The sequence below is a fragment of the Homo sapiens genome, chromosome 5 (assembly GCF_000001405.40).
Source record: "Homo sapiens chromosome 5, GRCh38.p14 Primary Assembly".
In the NCBI taxonomy this organism is placed as follows: Eukaryota; Metazoa; Chordata; class Mammalia; order Primates; family Hominidae; genus Homo; species Homo sapiens.
This window is the reverse complement of record NC_000005.10, coordinates 67225420-67239559: the sequence shown is the minus strand read 5'-3', so window position 1 is coordinate 67239559 and position 14140 is coordinate 67225420. Positions and strand designations below refer to the sequence as shown.

Genomic DNA, 14140 nt, shown 5'->3' with positions numbered 1-14140 from the left:
ATCTTTTTAAAAGCTGAAATAAAACATAAAATATGTAGCAGAAGACATGACACATAGCGAGCTATTGTTAGTGATAACAATAAATCATTGATGCCCCAAGGTCCAGAGTCACGAATTGGGAACCCCTCCCCTGACAAGGCTACTTAGTGATCTGACTTGGTAGAATTACGTGGGACCCGCATTTTCAACATATTGTAATCCTACAGAGGGACCAGAACAAACTTTACCATAGTGAAAGGAGAGAATAAAGATATATGGCTCTACAAAAAATAGGATAGAGTTTTATTTAGCTTACCTCAAGAGACAGTTTGAATATTATCTCTGTTAATTACTGGCCATGTGACCTTGCACAAGTTGTTTAATTTCTCTGGGCCTCAGCTCCCTTAAAATGAGGATAATAATAGCAGCTTCCTAATAGGTTTGTCACAGGGATTAAATTAGTTAAGGGTATAAAGTGCTTATTATGCCTGGCACACAGTAGGCACTCAATAAATATTAGTTGTCCTTGGGTTTGTCATTATGATTACCGTCTCCAAAACAGACAAACCTATGAACAAAGACTATCTTTCTGCTTCTCCTCTTACTTTCAAATTATGTTTATATTTTATTTCTATTGCTGCAGCAAAACAAAAGACTTTTTAAAACAAAGGAAAAGGCTGCAAACTGTATCTTCAGGGAATTCTTTATATATTGCCACCTGCATTCTTCTTTTCTCCAAGATCTAAGTTATTCTTCCAGGGTAATTTTTTATTTTTCTGTCTTGTGTAGCAGGCAGAGCAGGGTATGTATATAAATGCTCACATCCTAACAATATGCTGAAATTTTCATCAGGAGATCCAAAGGTGCTAAGCCTAGCTTTCTGGATGTGTTAATTCTTACTTCCGCAAGGAAAATACTGTATGGAATTGATACGACCCACGCAAAAGGCTGTTGTGCTTTTCTGATATTCACAGACACATCAGCTCCTGGATTAAATTTGGGATTTAACATAGCAGAGTCCAATCCCCTGACATTGCCTGGTAACCGCCTGGCTGAAAATAGACTTTCTGGATGACCGCTGAGTTTCTAAATCACATTACCCTTTTGTCAAGTCACGCAGCAGGTAAACAGTGGAATAATTTAGAATCTTGACATCAGGGAAAAGCACGCACTCCAGAGAGGAATTAGGCTCTCCAAGGCTGCATCTCTCCTTTGCCTTCTCCTTGTCCTGGAAGTGTCTCGTAAAATCGTGAGTCATCCGCCATCCTTTCACTCCAAGTCCTGTCCTGTTAGGGGCCCACCAGCCCAATAGGGTTTGGAATGCCACCCACTCTGACACCTCACCCAAATCCTTGCACTCAGTGTCTCCTTTGAGTCTCCCGCAGCAAACGTTTCCCATCTGGAGTAAATAAATGACCTAGGGGGCTGGACAGAAACTCATGAGAATAACAGCAACCAAAAACAGACCCAAAAGAAACAGACCATAGCATAGATGATTTTCCCCCAACTTTTTAATATGAAAATGTTCAAAAATGAAAGGCGATGGACTAGTACAACAAATACATACACACCCATCACCTACGCTCACCAAATGCTCATATTTCAGCATTTTTTGCTTTATCTATCTATGTATCCATTTGATCTTATGTGTGTGTGTGGCCGTGTGTGTGTTGGCCTTACCCTTTAAAAGTAAGTTGCTGATATCATGACACTTCACTCCTATATTTCACAGCATTTGTTTTCTCAAAATAAGGACATTCTCTTACATGACTTTAATACCATTATCACACCTAACAAATTAAGAGTAATTCATAATATCATCTACTGTTAGTCCACATTCCAATAGCTTTCCTTATCCCAAAAACTCAAGCATGGTGTTTGATTACTATAGCTCTTTAGGCCCTTTTAATAAAGACCAGTTCTCTTACCTTTTATTTTAATGATAGTGACTTTTTTACATGTGTCCAGGCCAGTTGTCTTACAAAATGTCCCACATTGAGCATGGGTGAGTTGCAACTGGAAGGGCAGGAGAAAAGAGTTGTGCACAGCAAGGGTCAGCGGAATACATTTGACTTTCCATCTCATGCGGAGTGGAGGGCCAAGTCCACTCGGGCCTATACAACGTGCCAGCACCCCACTTCCCAGCCCCCACAGACTCCCCCTGCAGCCATGCCAGCCTTTTTGCTGTTCCCCAATATGCTAAGTGCATACCCAGCTCGAGATCTTGGCACAAATTCTCCCCTTTTCTTGAAATGCTTTTCTCTCACATCTCAAAACCATGGCCCCTTCCATCCTGAAGGTCTTTGCTCAGAGAAGCCTTCCTCCGCCACCTCATCTAAAATTGCAAACCACCTTCCCAACCTAACTTTTTCTTTATGGCACATTTCACCACCTAACTTTCTATGTGTTTTATTTCTATTGCTGATTTCCTGTCTCATCACCTGCAATATGTGTTCTTCAAGGACAGGGTTTTGCTGTGATTTCTTCATGACTGCACTCCCAGTTCATATACCAGAGTTTGACTCCATTGAATTAGCAAATATTTGTTAAAACCTACCATTGAACTCTAGAAACTGCAGAGAAGCATATGTCAGATGTCCCTCTTAAAGCTGACATGACCTGGTTATCCAGCCCCTGCTGCCCCAGGCCAGTGGTGAAGCCACTGTCCAGCAGGGAGAACAGCTGTCAGAAGCCAGGCAGGGGTAAGGCCCTGGAGCAGCTCAGAGCCAGGGCTGACCACCATCCCACTCCCACTGTCCCACTCTCCTCCTCACAATCCCCATAGCTACCTGTGTCAGTTTCTGATCATTCAACTGGGCCTCAGAGGCTCCCAGCCAGTGTGCGCTGCAAACTTGCCCTCCCTTTCCCTATAGAACCACATCACCTCCTCTAGCCACCCACCCTGCAACCTGTCCTCCTGAGGCCACTGATCTTTCTAAGAAGCAAAGATGGCCAAGTCTTTCCCTCTGCTCAAAATATTTCACTGGCATCCCTCCTTCCACAGGCGGAGAACCCAGGCTGATCTATGCAGAACACCCTTCCTGATCCGGCTACCACCTTCCCAACCTCCATCCCCTGCCATCCCCATCTCCACCTTGACAATACTAAATTATGTGTAGCAGTTTCTGGGATGACTGTTCTCCTCACGCCTCTCACTTACTTCACCTTCTGTCCAGCATGCACCTCCGCTCCTACCCCATCACCTCCAGTGTGCCATCCTGGCAAACTTCTACTCTTCCTTCAAGTTTCAACTCAAATGCTACCTCCCCTTAGAAACTTTTCTGAACTTCCTTCTGCTATAGTCAAACTGGACATTGCGTTTAAAATGAATATCACTTTAACAAAAATCACATCACCACTGTTTGCTTTTCTGTCTTCAGCTGGACCTCAACAGGGTCCTTAAAGGCATGCCCTATGAAAAAGCTTGGGTCTGTCCAGCTTTGCATCCATGGAGTCTGTGGCAAAAGACTAGGAGTTTAATAAACTTGGATGACTTGGTCTAAGTAGCTGGGTAGAGCCGTTTGCTGAGATCCTTAAGGATCAGAGTTAGTGACCCTGATCTACATCCTGACTTTACGGCTAAGGCCTGGAGTTAATGGTAAACGTCCTCATTGTTTCGGTTTGCTGAAATATCATGTAAACTCAACATCAGGCGGCTGTTTGACTGGGGACAAACAATTCTGCATTCCAGAGCACGTTGACCCTGTGTGCAGGTTGCTCTGTTTGCTTTTCACTAACAAAGAAGTTCTCATTTGAGGCTGTGAAATTTAAACCACATTCTCTGTTCCACCTTGCTCTCCCTCATACGTGTGTGTGTGTGTATGTGTGTGAGTGTGTGAGAGACAGAGACAGAAAGAGAAAGAAACAGAGAGAGACAGAGACAGAGAGACATAGAAGCCATAGAATTTGCCTGGTGCTGTGCTTCAAGCCAGCACAAACTAACGCAAGCTAGAAATCTTCTGACACAAATGGAAGACTGTATAATGCACGAGGATTAGGCACCAGGTCCACAGGGCCACAGCAGGCTGCCACTAGCTTGAACAGGCCACCTGCTTCCAAAGCACTGACAAACATAAACAACATTCGTGCCAATTCGCCCCTCCATTTTATTTCCATCTTAAGAGACATTTTATTTGTCACCCACTGGAGTCCAGACAGTTAGATGTGCCTGACATTTCGGTCATGGTCAACACTCAATACATGGCATTCTTAGGATTTCTTGAGGGAGTTTGGTCTGATTGTCTACAGCCTAAGAACCTTCCACATTGTGAATGCGCTGCTGTCATTTTTACCTGTGGCCATGACATGTCCACATAGGTACAATATCACTTAATGTTATTATTATAAATTTTTAGCTATCATTCTTCCCCATAAGGGAACTTGAATTCATAATTCTGCATAGTGACGGTATCCACAGGGGACCCCAGGCTACTCAAATCCTCATGCTAAGAGTTTATAGACTATGGGCTGAAGATGAGTAAGCATTTCCCGCCATTCCTTCCCGGGCTATTAGCATTGTTTCAGTTTTTCTGGTTTGAACCAAAGCCAGTTGAATCTCCTCCAAGTTCCAGTTTTGGTCAGATCTCAGGAGACAGCCTGTCTGGTTGTTCAAAAAACAAATATCTGCCTGAACATCCACCCGACCTGGAGTTATGGCAGATCACAGCTGCCTAATGACCCCACCAAGTGTCCCTTCCACCGGGCAGGGGAGGGGAACAGCATGAAGCGCTGTAATCTCTCCCTCTGAGGTTGCTGAAGCCTAAATAAGAAGTCCTGCAAGCAGACGGCGAGGCTGCCGAGCCTGTTTCCTTCTTGCACGATTTGTCTCTCCCACCAGGTGTCTAAGTCATCTTTTTTCCCCCCTGTTTACTAAATGTCTCCTGTCATGGCCTCAAAGTACTTTAGACTAGCGTCTACCAGTATTTAGTGAGAATTTCCTGGGCCTGCTTCTGATATGTTTCCCAAAAGGATCTGAGAGATCTAGAAAAGGGGTCTCCACCCATGAGGAGTTTATAATCCAGAGGTGAAGACAAAAAATATATATAACAATAGACAAAATGGTGATATACAATTATTATATTACACACACATATTAGGGACCTTGTGATCAATAGGTTTTTCTGCAAATAGGTGACATCATCTACAGATTGGCATCTAGAACTTGTCCATTAAAGGAGCAGGGGTGGCATGGGATTTCATTCAGTGCTTTAAACAATCTATTTTTTATAGGACTTTTTTTGCTTTCTAGTTGCACAGCTCCTTTACGTAATTATTTGAAAGTAGGCTCTGAAAGGTACAGAAGGTGAACTAAGCACACACAGTGTTCTCCTGTTCCAGGTCCTTAGAAATGATAGAAACACACACACACATGTGCATACTTACAAATATATATATATGCACACACATGTACGTGCATACATATACATATATATGTATTCAGAGACAAGAGTAGGAATCTTCCCATGGACCATAAACTGTAAGGAATCCTGGAAAGAGGAAAAACAGAAACTGATGGAAGAAGGAAACTCCAATCTGAGATGCTCAGAGAAGGTACTCTTGCAAGGGGTTGGAGATAGAGGTAGAGGATGCTCGAAGCAAGGGAGATTTGGCAGCAATTAACGTGCCACGTGCCCATCTGGTGGTAGGTGACGGTTCCAGGAGGAAAACCCACGTCTTTTCTTTCTAATGCCTGTATTTCCACCACAGATTCTTGAATAGGCACAGGAGACTAGCAGGGTCTACACAGCACAAAGTGAGTAGAAATTTGGCTGTTTCTTATTAATTTGAGCTCTGTACGTTTAGTAAACTGTGTTATTCAGGATTGATTATGATTTAAACAATCTACTTTTAAAACATTTTGAAACTGAGTAACAGTGACTTCAAATATTTTTCATTGAACTATAGTCTGACTTTTTAATTCAGTGTAAAGTTCCTCATCAAATTTACCACCATAAATTTATGTTTAAATATGTTTAAATGTGTAAGCACATAGGTCTATCTCTCTCTCTTTTTTTTTTTCCTTCCTACTAGGAAGCTCAAAGCAAGTTTTTGTGCTAATCTCCAAACATTAATGTAACAGAGGTAGAATCTGGTCACTAATATTGAAACCGCCCAAGGGGTTCACCTTGCCCCCTGCCTAGACAGAGCCGATTCATCAAGACAGGGGAACTTCAATAGAGAAAGAAAAATTCACCAGAGCAGGCTCTGCGGGAGACTGGAGTTTTATTATTACTCAAATCAGTCTCCCCGAGCGTTCGTTTGGGGAGCAGAGTTTTTAAGGATAACTCGGTGGGTGGAGGGAAGCCAGTGAGCCAGGAGTGCTGATTGGTCAGAGATGAAATCATAGGGAATTGAAGCTGTCCTCTTGCTCTGAGTCAGTTCCTGTGTGGGGGCCAAAAGATCAGTGGGCCAGTTTATTAATCCGGGTGGTGCCAGCTGATCCATCAAGTACAGAGTCTGCGAAATATCTCAAGCACTGATCTTAGGAGCAGTTTAGGGAGGGTCAGAATCTTGAAGCCTCCAGCTGCATGACTCCTAAACCATAACTTCTAATCTTCTAGCTAATGTTAGTCCTACAAAGGCAATCTAGTCCCCAGGCAAGAAGGAGGTCTGCTTTGGGAAAGGGCTGTTACTGTGTTTGTTTAAACCATAAACTAAGTTTCTCCCAAAATTAGTTCGGCCTAAGCCCAGGAATGAACAAAGACAGCTTGGAGGTTAGAAGCAAGATGGAGTTGGTTAAGTTAGATCTCTTTCACTGTCTCCATCATACTTTTGCAAAGACAGTTTCAATATTATAAACAACTTTTGCATGATTTATATTTTTAATTATCTTTCTTGCTCTATGGTATAAATAGTAAATAGGCAGGATGTGATAAAAAGCATAGGCAGTGGAGAAAGGAGGCATGAATTTGAACCTGCTCCTTCCTCATTATATGAACTTGGAAAAGAATAATAATCCCTTCCTCATGGGATTTTTGTGGGGACAAGGACTAATATAAATAAAGTCTAGCACAATGTTATGCATGCTGCTTTAAGCTGTCTGGTATAGTTTTTGGAATTAGACGAGTATAAGTCATTAAAAACCATGATAAATTAACTTGTGTTTAATAAATTTGTATTACTTAACTGAATTATCTTTAAGGATAAAATCATGCTCTCAGGCCTCATCTGCAGACTTGGAACCAGAACACCTGCACTTGGACAGTTTATCACAGTCAGGTGAGGTTGAGTCGGTACTTGCTTTGAAGAGGAGTTGAGTGTTTAACCGGGGCTTAAATTAGTAGGGATATGTTCTGACAGAGGGTAGAGGACATTCTGTCTGAGGAGCACATGAGTGAGAGTGGAAGGCTAGGAAAAAGCTGGAGACAAGAGAAATCAAATCCATGAACTCACCAGAATCCCTTCAAGCCCTGCAGAGAAACAATATGGTAGAGAGGAAATCTCACAGGCTTAGCTGGCAGCAGGTTCCCAACTCCTGGTCAGCTACTGCTAGTTGTATGACCCTAGGCAAGGCATGCAACCTTTTCAAACTTCCATTTCATCCTAGCAAAATTGGTAAAATAATACTGAATTTAGTATGGAAGATTAGAGATGATCTGTGTAAAGGAAGTGACCTGTCCCCTAGGAAGTTTGGTAAGTAGCTTATTATTAGCTGTTAGTTCTCATTCGCTATTATAATCCCCTAACAGCACTGTGAAGCAGATCTCTAACACAAATTAAAACTAGCCAACCATCCAGCCACAGCAAAAGCAGACACTGATGAGCTAACAAACAGCAAACAGAAAACACTGTGTTTTAAAACATTCATTAAATTTAAAAATTCCTAGAAAGGTTGATCAAGGAAAAAAATAGAAAATACAAATTATCAATAACAGACTTAAAGGTGTGTCAGTATAGTTACTACAGCTGTTATTAAAAGATAATAATGGCATATTATTTTAAAAATTACACTAATCAATTTGGCAATTTAAGGGAAATGAACAAATTCCCGGAAAATGTAATTTATGAAAGAACAAGAATAAATACAAAAATCTGAATATATCTATTTATTAAATTTATTTTATTGAGTTTATTAAATTTATTTATTATCTAGTTTACCTATTAAGGAAATTAAATTTGTGATTAAAGACCTTACCACCAAGAAAGCTGATGGCCCAGATAACTTTTACTAATGAGTTCCATCAAACATTTGAGATGAAAATAATATCAATCTTACATGGTCTTTCAGAAAATCTAAAGCCAGACTAACCCTGATATGGAAATCTGACAGACATTACAAAGAGAAATTTGCAGATTGATATCATTTATGAACATAGATTCAAAGGTCTTTAAATATTAGTAAATAGCAATCTGCAACATATAAAAGAGATAATACCTCATGACCAAATGGGTATCATCCTAGGAATGCAAGATTAGTTCGATATTCAAAAATTATCCAATGCAATTTGCCACATTAACAGAACAAAGGAGAAAACCATAGACTCATCACCATAGATGCAGCGAAACTGATGACAAGATTCCATATCCATTCATCACAAAATCTATCAGCAGACCAGGAATAGAAAGGAGCCTCCTCATTAAGACAAAGAGCATCTGTGAAAAACCTCCACCTAACATCATACTTCATGTGAAAATAGTGGATGTGCTCCCCTCCATAATCAGGAACAAGACAGGGATGTTCGTTCACACTACTTCTAGTTTAGAAATCATTGTCCTCAAGAACAATATCATGCCTTGCCTTACTGGTCAGTCCAACATCACGGGCAGTGGCTGAAACATCTGAAGTCAGGTGACAAATCAGGCCTCGGGAGAGAAGGAGGAATAATAGTAATTATATCTACAATTCCACTCATGTAAAAACAACTCCCTGTAGATACCCCTATTTGAAATTATCTTGTTGTGAATTTTTTTAAGGGTAGGCACCATTTTCCCAGGTGTATAGATACCATAGAAGCAAAGTACCTTGCAGAAGGTCATTCAATCAATGACCAGGGGGAGAGAAAGTCAAACCCAGGTCTTCCTGGTGCCAGGTTGATCTTCCACTCTGCCTAGATTCTAAGATGCCATTATATTTAGATTCAGAAGTCAAACCTGAATGGAATGATTAATACCCTCACAATTCTAGCAGAAAGTAAAAAGGATGTACCACTTCAAATGTATTTAAATAAAGTAGTCAAAAATACATGCCATAGAAATTTGCGGGAGGATTTCCACCATTATGCTAGTGTTGGAGACAAGGATAATAATCTTGCTTTGGTGGAGCCAAGATGGCCGAATAGGAACAGCTCCAGTCTACAGCTCCCAGCACGAGTGATGCAGAAGATGAATGATTTTTGCATTTCCAACTGAGGTACCGAGTTCATCTCACTGGGGATTGTAGGACAGTGGGTGCAGGACAGTGGGTGCAGCACACCGAGCATGAGCCAAAGCAGGGCGAGGCATCACCTCACCCAGGAAGCACAAGGAGTCAGGGAATTCCCTTTCCTAGCCAAGGAAAGGTGTGACAGACAGCATCTAGAAAATCAGGTCACTTCCACCCTAATACTGAGCTTTTCTGACAGTCTTAGCAAACAGCACACCAGGAGATTATATCCCACGCATGGCTCGGAGGGTCCTACGCCCATGGAGCCTCGCTCATTGCTAGCACAGCAGTCTGAAATCAAACTGCAAGGTGGCAGCGAGGCTGGGGGAAGGACGCCTGCCATTGCTGAGTCTTGAGTAGGTAAACAAAGCAGCCAAGAAGCTCGAACTGGGTGGAGCCCACCGCAGCTCAAGGAGGCCTGCCTGCCTCTCTAGACTCCACCTCTGGGAGCAGGGCATAGTCAAACAAAAGGCAGCAGAAACCTCTGCAGACTTAAATGCCCCTGTCTGACAGCTTTGAAGAGAGTAGTGGTTCTCCCAGCATGCAGCTTGAGATCTGAGAGCAGACAGACTGCCTCCTCAAGTGGGTCCCTAAATCCCGAGCAGCCTAACTGAGAGGCACCCCCGAGTAGGGGCAGACTGACACCTCACACGGCCAGGTACTCCTCTGAGACAAAACTTCCAGAGGAATGATCAGGCAGCAACATTTGCTGTTCACCAATATCCACTGTTCTGCAGCCTCCACTGCTGATACCCAGGCAAACAGGGTCTGGAGAGGACCTCCAGCAAACTCCAACAGACCTGCAGCTGAGGGTACTGACTGTTAGAAGGAAAACTAACAAACAGAAAGGACATCCACACCAAAACCCCATCTGGATGTCACCATCATCAAAGACCAAAGGTAGATAAAACCACAAAGATGGGGAAAAAACAGAGCAGAAAAACTGAAAATTCTAAAAATCAGAGTGCCTTTCCTCCTCCAAAGGAACGCAGCTCCTCACCAGCAACGGAACAAAGCTGGACGGAGAAGGACTTTGACGAGTCAAGAGAAGAAGGCTTCAGACAATCAAATTACTCCGAGCTAAAGGAGGAAGTTTGAACCCATGGCAAATAAGTTAAAAACCTTGAAAAAAAATTAGACGAATGGCTAACTAGAATAACCAATGCAAAGAAGTCCTTAAATGACCTGATGGAGCTGAAAACCACGGCACGAGAACTACTTGATGAATGCACAAGCTTCAGTAGCCGATTCCATCAACTGGAAGAAAGGGTATCATGATGGAAGATCAAATGAATGAAATGAAGCAAGAAGAAAAGTTTACAGAAAAAAGAATAAAAAGAAATGAACAAAGCCTCCAAGAAATATGGGACTATGTGAAAAGACCAAATCTACGTCTGATTGGTGTACCTGAAAGTGACGGAGAGAATGGAACTAAGTTGGAAAACACTCTGCACGATATTATCCAGGAGAACTTCCACAATCTAGCAAGGCAGGCCAACATTCAAATTCAGGAAATACAGAGAATGCCACAAAGATACTCCTCAAGAAGAGCAACTCCAAGACACATAATTGTCAGATTCACCAAAGTTGAAATGAAGGAAAAAATGTTAAGGGCAGCCAGAGAGAAAGGTCGGGTTACCCACAAAGGGAAGCCCATCAGACTAACAGCTGATCTCCTGGCAGAAACTCTACAAGCCAGAAGAGAGTGGGGGCCAATATTCAACATTCTTAAAGAAAAGAATTTTTGACCCAGAATTTCATATCCAGCCAAACTAAGCTTCATAAGTGAAGGAGAAATAAAATCCTTTACACACAAGCAAATGCTGAGAGATTTTGTCACCACCAGGCCTGCCCTAGAAGAGCTCCTGAAGGAAGCACTAAACATGGAAAGGAACAACCGGTACCAGCCACTGCAAAAACATGCCAAATTGTAAAGACCATCAAGGCTAGGAAGAAACTGCATCAACTAACAAGCAAAATAACCAGCTAACATCATAATGACAGGATCAAATTCACATATAACAATATTAACCTTAAATTGTGAATGGGCTAAATGCTCCAATTAAAAGACACAGACTGGCAAATTGGATAAAGAGTCAAGACCCATCAGTGTGCTGTATTCAGGAAACCCATCTCATATGCAGAGACACACATAGGCTCAAAATAATGGGATGGAGGAAGATCTACCAAGCAAATGGAAAACAAAAAAAGGCAGGGGTTGCAATCCTAGTCTCTGATAAAACAGACTTTAAACCAACAAACATCAAAAGAGACAAAGAAGGCCATTACATAATGGTAAAGGGATCAATTCAACAAGAAGAGCTAACTATCCTAAATATATATGCACCCAATACAGGAGCACCCACATTCATAAAGCAAGTCCTTAGAGACATACAAAGAGACTTAGACTCCCACACAATAATAATGTGAGACTCTAACACCCCACTGTCAACATTAGACAGATCAACGAGACAGAAAGTTAACAAGGATATCCAGGAACTGAACTCAGCTCTGCACCAAGTGGACCTAATAGACATCTACAGAACTCTCCACCCCAAATCAACAGAATATACATTTTTTTCAGCACCACACCACACCTATTCCAAAACTGACCACATAGTTGGAAGTAAAGCTCTCCTCAGCAAATGTAAAAGAACAGAAATTATAACAAACTGTCTCTCAGACCACAGTGCAATCAAACTAGAACTCAGGATGAAGAAACTCACTCAAAACCGCTCAACTACATGGAAACTGAACAACCTACTCCTGAATGACTACTGGGTACATAATGAAATGAAGGCAGAAATATTTCATAACAGGCTATGAAATTGAGGCAATAATTAATAGCTTACCAACCAAAAAAAGTCCAGGACCAGACGGATTCACAGCCAAATTCTACCAGAGGTACAAGGAGGAGCTGGTACTATTCCTTCTGAAACTATTCCAATCAATAGAAAAAGAGGGAATCCTCGCTAACTCATTTTATGAGGCCAGCATCATCCTGATACCAAAGCCGGGCAGAGACACAACAAAAAAAGAGAATTTTAGACCAATATCCCTGATGAACATCGATGCAAAAATCCTCAGTAAAACACTGGCAAACTGAATCCAGCAGCACATCAAAAAGCTTATCCACCATGAACAAGTGGGCTTCATCCCTGGGATGCAAGGCTGGTTCAACTTACGCAAATCAATAAACGTAATCCAGCATATAAACAGAACCAACGACAAAAACCACATGAGTATCTCAATAGATGCAGAAAAGGCTTTGACAAAATTCAACAACCCTTCATGCTAAAAACTCTCAATAAATTAGGTATTGATGGGACATATCTCAAAATAATAAGAGCTATCTATGACAAACCCACAGCCAATGTCATACTGAATGGGCAAAAACTGGAAGCATTCCCTTTGAAAGCTGACACAAGACAGGGATGCCCTCTCTCACCACTCCTATTCAACATAGTGTTGGAAGTTCTGGCCAGGGCAATCAGGCAGGAGGAGGAAATAAAGGGTATTCACCTAGGAAAAGAAGAAGTCAAATTGTCACTGTTTGCAGATGACATGATTGTACATCTAGAAAACTCCATCATCTCAGCCCAAAATCTCCTAAAGCTGATAAGCAACTTCAGCAAAGTCTCAGGATACAAAATCAATGTGCAAAAATCACAAGCATTCTTATACACCAATAACAGACAAACAGAGAGCCAAATCATGAGTGAACTCCCATTCAGAGCTGCTTCAAAGAGAATAAAATACCTAGGAATCCAACTTAGAAGGGATGTGAAGGACCTCTTCAAGGAGAACTACCACTGCTCAATGAAATGAAAGAGGATACAAACAAATGGAAGAACATTCCATGCTTATGGGTAGGAAGAATCAATATTCTGAAAATGGCCATACTGCCCAAGGTAATTTATAGATTCAATGCCATCCCCATCAAGCTACCAATGACTTTCTTCACAGAATTGGAAAAAACTACTTTAAAGTTCATATGGAACCAAAAAAGAGCCCGCATTGCCAAGTCAATCCTAAGCCAAAAGAACAAAGCTGGAGGCATCACGCTACCTGACTTCAAACTATACTACAAGTCTACAGTAACCAAAACAGCATGGTACTGGTACCAAAACAGAGATGTAGACCAACGGAACAGAACAGAGCCCTCAGAAATAATGCCACATATCTACAACTATCTGATCTTTGACAAACCTGACAAAAACAAGCAATGGGGAAAGGATTCCCTATTTAATAAATGGTGCTGGGAAAACTGGCTAGCCATATGTAGAAAGCTGAAACTGGATCCCTTCCTTACACCTTATACAAAAATTAATTCAAGATGGATTAAAGACTTATATGTTAGACCTAAAACCATAAAAACCCTAGAAGAAAACCTAAGCAATACCATTCAGGACACAGGCATGGGCAAGGACTTCATGTCTAAAACACCAAAAGCAATGGCAACAAAAGCCAAAATTGATAAATGGGATCTAATTCAACTAAAGCACTTCTGCGCAGCAAAAGAAACTACCATCAGAGTGAACAGGCAACCTACAGAATGGGAGAAAATTTTTGCAATCTACTCATCTGACAAAGGCCTAATATCCAGAATCTACAATGAACTCAAACAAATTTACAAGAAAAAAACAAACAACCCCATCAACAAGTGGGCGAAGGATATGAACAGACACTTCTCAAAAGAAGACATTTATGCAGCCAAAAGACACATGAAAAAATGCTCATCATCACTGGCCATCAGAGAAATGCAAATCAAAACCACAATGAGATACCATCTCACACCAG

General features: G+C 41.5%; 1 annotated feature.

Annotated features, from left to right (window-relative positions):
• Nucleotides 5958-6507: an enhancer, noted in NCBI's record as "OCT4-NANOG hESC enhancer chr5:66528881-66529430 (GRCh37/hg19 assembly coordinates)". NCBI's record gives its function as "activates a minimal SCP1, AML or CMV promoter by ChIP-STARR-seq in naive H9 embryonic stem cells {active_cell/tissue: H9 hESC(naive)}" and the evidence as "EXISTENCE:reporter gene assay evidence [ECO:0000049][PMID:30033119]".